Source organism: Homo sapiens, chromosome 1, assembly GCF_000001405.40.
Source record: "Homo sapiens chromosome 1, GRCh38.p14 Primary Assembly".
NCBI lineage: Eukaryota > Metazoa > Chordata > Mammalia > Primates > Hominidae > Homo > Homo sapiens.
The window spans coordinates 52525295-52531316 of NC_000001.11; the positions used below are offsets into that span (position 1 = coordinate 52525295).

Consider the following 6022-nt stretch of genomic DNA (forward strand, 5'->3'; position numbering starts at 1 on the left):
TGTACCAACTAAAGAAGATACTAAATTTTTATTTGCACAGTCTTTGTACCTACCATAATAAATGAAAAGGCTTTTTTTTTTTAGCTTCACCAAGGATCAATCTAGTAAGAAACCATTAATGCAAGTATTATTAATGTGGATGTTTTCATACGGGAACAAAAGTGCTAAACAATTATGTATAAACATGACTTTTTGTAATTAAAATGGTTAAACCGGGGATAATCTAAAGAACATTAATATACAAAAATCCCTCCAAAAAATGACTTACTTAAATCGTCCGATACGTCTTCAATTCCTGAAGCACTATCATCAGAATCACCAGTATTATCTGTACATGTCTGTTGCTTCTGAGATCGTGGTGAGTTTTGCAGAGCACATTTTTCTCCCCCTACAGCTTCAATATTCACTTTGTCCACAGAAGTAAAGGAGCTTGGAATTTTTTTTCCAATCTGTTGTAATTCTGTCTTCTGTCTCATGTCTTTCAACAGTAAACTGGGTCCCTTTTCTGCTTCTGCTGGTGAACTTGGTACTTTTTCTGACTTCATCTGATAACTGGATGCTTTTTCTGCTTTCACTGAATTAGGTGACTTTGGTGATTTTTCTGCTTTTGCCTGTAAACTGGTTGCCTTTTCTGATTTTGCCTGTGAAATGGTTGCCTTTTCGGCTTTCACCGGTGAATTAGGAAATTTTTTTGCTTTGCAATGACTTTGATCTCGAAGGACTAACCCCAAATCTTTAGGACCTGGAAGGTTGGCAGCATTTACTTTACATGATTTAACTTCTGTTTTTTCTATACAAATATCATTTTGCTTATTTTTTTTACTACTATTCCTATTTGGAGAGCTGTTCTCAATTTCTTTTACGGATTTATCATTTCTAGCTTTCAATGTTTGATTACCTATAACTTGAACTGCTTTGCTTTCTTCACAAATAACATTCTTCTTTGGTTCATGATTTTCACTTTTTAAGGTTTTAGACTCTTCCATTATTTGAAAATCTGTTTCTTTCCAATTGTGATATTATAAAATGGCAGATCTCCAGTAGTTTAAATTGCTTCAAGTCCAGTTTAGGCAAGCAAACTATTGGGTTAAAAAAAAGAGAAAAATCTGTTATTTAAAATGCAAAAACAATTTTTTATGGTTAGACATTAAAAAACAATTTTTTAAACTTGTTCTAAAAACTGAAGAAATTGTTAAAAAAAAAAAAAAAGACAAAACTCAGAAAACTATATGAGAAGGAGTTACAGTGCACTAGGTAAATAGCCAAATGCTCATCAAGGGAATTCTAATGTAATTGTGGTAAAACAGCACCAAAATAAAGAATTTTAGAAGTAAAGGTTGTCTCATATTTCTTTAAGAATTTCAATAGAAAACTAAAACTTGCAATTGAATGTATCACAATTAACATGAAAGGAAACAGAATAAAGAAAACACAAGAATTCCAATCTTGGCTGGGTGTGGTGGCTCATGCCTGTAATCCCAGCACTTTGGGAGGTCAAGGTGGGTGGATCACCTGAGGTCAGGAGTTCGAGACCAGCCTGACCAATATGATAAAATCCCACCTCTACTAAAAATACAAAAATTAGCCAGGCATGGTGGCGTGCGCCTGTAATCCCAGTTACTCAGGGGCTGAGACAGGAAAATCACTTGAACCCGGGAGGCAGAGGTTGCAGTGAGCCAAGATCATGCCATTGTACTCCAGCCTGGGCAACAAGAAGGAACGAAACTCCATCTCAAAGATGGAGAATCCCAATCTTTATGTGCTATAAATGAATCCGTTTATGGAATCCTAAATGGTAAAATCTTGCCCACAAGACTTTACCACCAACTAGCATCTATTTGTACCTCTAGCCTACCTCGAACTTACCTCAAACTTGACTCTCTAAATATGGGAAAACAATAGACTTTCTCCACCTTGAAGTAAAAACGGGTTCAAATGAATTCGCTGAAGTATACTTTAAAAACCAACAGGGGCCGGGTGCAATGGCTCATGCCTGTAATCCCAACACTTTGGGAGGCCAAGGCGGGCGGATCACGAGGTCAGGAGTTCAAGACCAGCCTGACCAACATAGTGAAACCCTGTCTCTACTAAAAACACAAATATCAGCTGGGCGTGGTGGCACATGCCTGTAATCCCAGCTACTCGGGAGGCTGAGGCAGGAGAATTGCTTGAACCGGGACCCAGGAGGCGGAGGTTGCAGTGAGCCAAGATCGCACCACTGCACTCCAGCCTGGGCCACAGAGTAAGACTCTGTCTCAAAAACAACAACAACAAAAAGGAACTTAAGAGTTTAAAAAAAAACAAAAGTAATAGTAATAATCTCTATGACACTATAATAGTGAATATCTGTCATTACACATTTGTATAATGATACAAAATGCACATTACCAAGAATGAACCCTAAAGTAAACTATAGACACTGGGTGATAAGGTATCAATGCGGGCCAATGTAGGTTCATCCACTGTAATAAACATGCTACTCTGGTGCCAGATGTTGAAAGTGGGGGAGGCTATGCATGTGTGGATGCAGGGTATATATGGCAACTTTGCACTTTCTGCTCAATTTTGCTGTGAACCTAAAAGTGTTCTAAAAAATAATGTCAGCCAGGCATGGTGCCTCACGCCTGTAATCCCAGCACTTTGGGAGGCCGAGGTGGGCAGATCACAAGGTCAGGAGTTCGAGACCAGCCTGGCCAACATGGTGAAACCCCGTCTCTACTAAAAATACAAAAATTAGCCGGGTACAGTGGTGGGCGCCTGTAAAATCCTACCTATTTAAGAGGCTGAGGCGGGAGAATTGCTTGAACCCGGGAAGCGGAAGTTGCAGTGAACTGAGATCGCGCCACAGCACTCCAGCCTGGGTGACAGAGCAAGACTCCATCTCGAAAAAAATAATAATAATAATAATAATAATGTCAAGGCCAGGCACATGGCTCACACCTGTAATCCCAACATTTTGGGAGGCCGAGGCTGGCGGATTGAGTCCAGGAGTTCAAGACCAGCCTGGACAACATGGTGAAACCCCATCTTTACAAAGAAAACAAAAATTAGCCGGCCACTGTGGCATGCGCCTGTAGTCCCAGCTACTTAGGAGGCTGAGGTGGGAGGATCGCTTGAGACCAGGAGGCAGAGGTTGCGGTGAGCCAAGATTGCATTCCTGCATTCCAGTCTGGGCAACAGAGTGAGACCCTGTCTCAAAAAAAAAAAAAAAAAGTGATTTTATTAAAAAATCAGGATGTTTTTTACTATTCACTTTGCCCTATACACCTTAAATTCAGATCCGTTTCTAAACAAACATTAATAATATGAATAAAAATTAGAGTCCTTCTGCCAGCAAAAGCAAACTGCATAGAATTAAAATGTACCATCTTTGATTTTACTTGGTTGATTTACTAAATTACAAATTTAGGTAAACATCTCTATCATATAACTTTACATCATATAAACAAAAAAATCCTACCTAAAATAAAGAGTTCACTCTTTAATAATCACTCACTGCAGCCTGGAACTCCTGGGCTCAAATGATCCTCCTGCCTCAGCCTCCCAAGCAACTAAGAACACAGGCGCACACCACCACACCTGGCTAATTTTTTTTTGTTGTAGAGACAAAGTCTCACTATGTTGCTCAGGCTTGTCTCAAACTCATGGCCTCAAGTGACCCTCCCATCTCAGTCTCCCAAAGCACTGGGATTACAGGAATGAGCCACCACACTTGGCCAATAATTCTTCTTTATAGTGCAGTCCTCTACATTCTCTGCCTTGCTTTTCCAGAGTAATACTGTCTTTTACTTTAAAAATGTATTAGGTTCTTCTTTCTAAATTATTATAATGAAAACTAAAGTCAAAACCACACTAGATATGGTGTCAGTTGGAGTCTAGCAAAGTATATTTAAAAATTTTTTAATTAAAAAAAATTTTAAACCACACTACATTTTCACCATTAATATTTTGACTAACATTTTCCAGTAAAAGCTATAGAAACTTACAACTGCAAAAGAATGCTTTTGCTCCTAATTTTTATACATATGAATTTGTTTAATTAATACATTTTGCTTTTATTATTCTTGATAAGGTGTTTTACATAACTGTCAGAAAAGTTGTCAAAACATATGACTATTTCTAAATTCTTGTGAGAACTGCTGCAGGTTCCTCACTTTAACAACTAAAATGAGCTCTGTTTCAAAAATTAAAATGAGTTATATTTCTAAAAGATTAGTTTTACCTTGTCTAGTAACCAAAATATCTTTAAATTTTTAATGCTAGTCTGCTATAACGATTCTTTAATAATTTTGTAGATGTCATCTGACAAAAGCCATAAAACAACAAAGATTTGAAATAACAATGCTGATTCACAATTTTGCTTGTAAAACATTTTAGACAATTTATTCATCCACTTAAAAAATACTCCATAAATCAAGTTTGTATACATAAACAAAAGCTACAAAGATTAAAAAAAGAAAAAAATCAATGTACCTAATATAGATCAATGTACCCGGAGAGTCCCAGGCTCAGAAAATTGACAGGTTTTCATTTTGAGTAATCTTTTTCTTCTTCTTCTTTCTTGAGACATGGTCTTGCTCTGTCGTTCAGGTTGGGGGGTAAAGTGGCACAATTACGGTTCACTGCAGCCTTGACCTCCCTAGGCTCAAGCAATCCTCCCATCTCAGCCACCCAACTAGCTGGGACTACAGGTGTGTGCCACCATGCCAAGCCAATTCTTGTATTTTTTGTAGAGACAGGATTTCGCTATCTCACCCAGGCTGGTTTCGAAGCCCTGAGCTTAAGCAATCCTCCTGCCTCGGCTTCCCAAACTGCTAGGACTACAGGCATGAGTCACTGCGTCAGCTACTTTGAGTAATTTTTCATATAACTAAAAATACATTTAAATTACTAATAGGAGGTTGCAGTGAGCCGAGACCACGCCATTGCACTCCAGCCTGGGTGACAGAGTGAGACTCCATCTCAAAAAAAAAAAAAAAAAAAAATTGCTAATAGGAATATGTGTTATGAAAAAGACTGTATTTTCTCATCTTCCTCACCTTTATTTTTTACTTTTTAAGGGTACACAGTAGGTGTATATATTTATGGGGTACAAGAGATGTTCCAGTACAGGCATGCAATGTAAAACAAGCGCATCATAGAGAATGGGGTATCCATCCCCTCAAGCATTTATCCTTTGAGTTACAAACAATCCAATTACACTCTTTATTTGTAAAAGTACAATTAAGTTATAATTAACGATAATCACCCCCACATCTTTTCTTGTAAGAGTAGCCAATGTCTTATTGCCTCAAAAATTTTATCACAAAATTGCTATTTTCAATTTTTTCTTTGAAGCTATCAAGAGTACAAAATTTTCCCCAAAAAGATGTAATTCCTAGAAACGAAGTTCTCTCGGAGGAGAGAGTATTTTGAAGATAAGGCTCAGCTGGGAACAGTGACTCACACCTGTAATCTCAGCTGCATAGGAGGCTGAGGTAGGCTGATTGCTTGAGCTCGCAAGTTCGAGGCCAGCCTGGGCAACATGGTAAAACCCTGTCTCTACAGAAAATACATAAATTAGCCAGGTGTGGTGGTATGCGCCTGTAGTTTCAGCTACTTGGGAGGCTGAGGTAGGAGGATGGCTTGAGCCCAGGAGGGAGAGGTTGCAGTGACCTGAGATAGCACCACTGCACTCCAGGCTAGGTGATAAGAGCCAGAACTTGTCTCAAAAAAAGAAAAGAAATGAAGGCTCACTGCTTCCCCTGCACACTTTACTTGGTTGAAACAAATAAAAATAATAGAATTCAAATAACCTCAAATCATGGAAAAAAATATTATCAGAACTAACCTCTAGTTCTTGGTTACATTTTTAGAATGTGGTAAATGGGTATTAAATGAAATTCTAACCTTAAATAACCAACTATATCTTAATAATTATCAAGAAAAAGTACTTTTTTTTTTTTTTCAGAGCCAGGGTCTCCCTGTGTCACCCAGGCTGGGGTGCAGTGATGCCATTCTAACTCACTACAGCTTCGAATTC

At 38.2% G+C, this 6022-nt stretch overlaps 1 protein-coding gene across 50 annotated transcripts in view; it reads right to left on the reverse strand.

Moving 5' to 3' along the window:
• TUT4 (terminal uridylyl transferase 4) overlaps nucleotides 1-6022 on the reverse strand; it is a 130189-nt gene that overhangs the window by 102020 nt on the left and 22147 nt on the right. For all 50 annotated transcript variants that reach the window (XM_017000804.3, XM_047416324.1, XM_047416327.1 and 47 more), the window contains one exon: nucleotides 269-1079. In XM_017000804.3, coding sequence (XP_016856293.1) covers nucleotides 269-986 — 718 coding nt within the window. In that variant the 5' untranslated portion in view covers nucleotides 987-1079. The remainder of the gene's footprint in view (nucleotides 1-268; nucleotides 1080-6022) is intronic.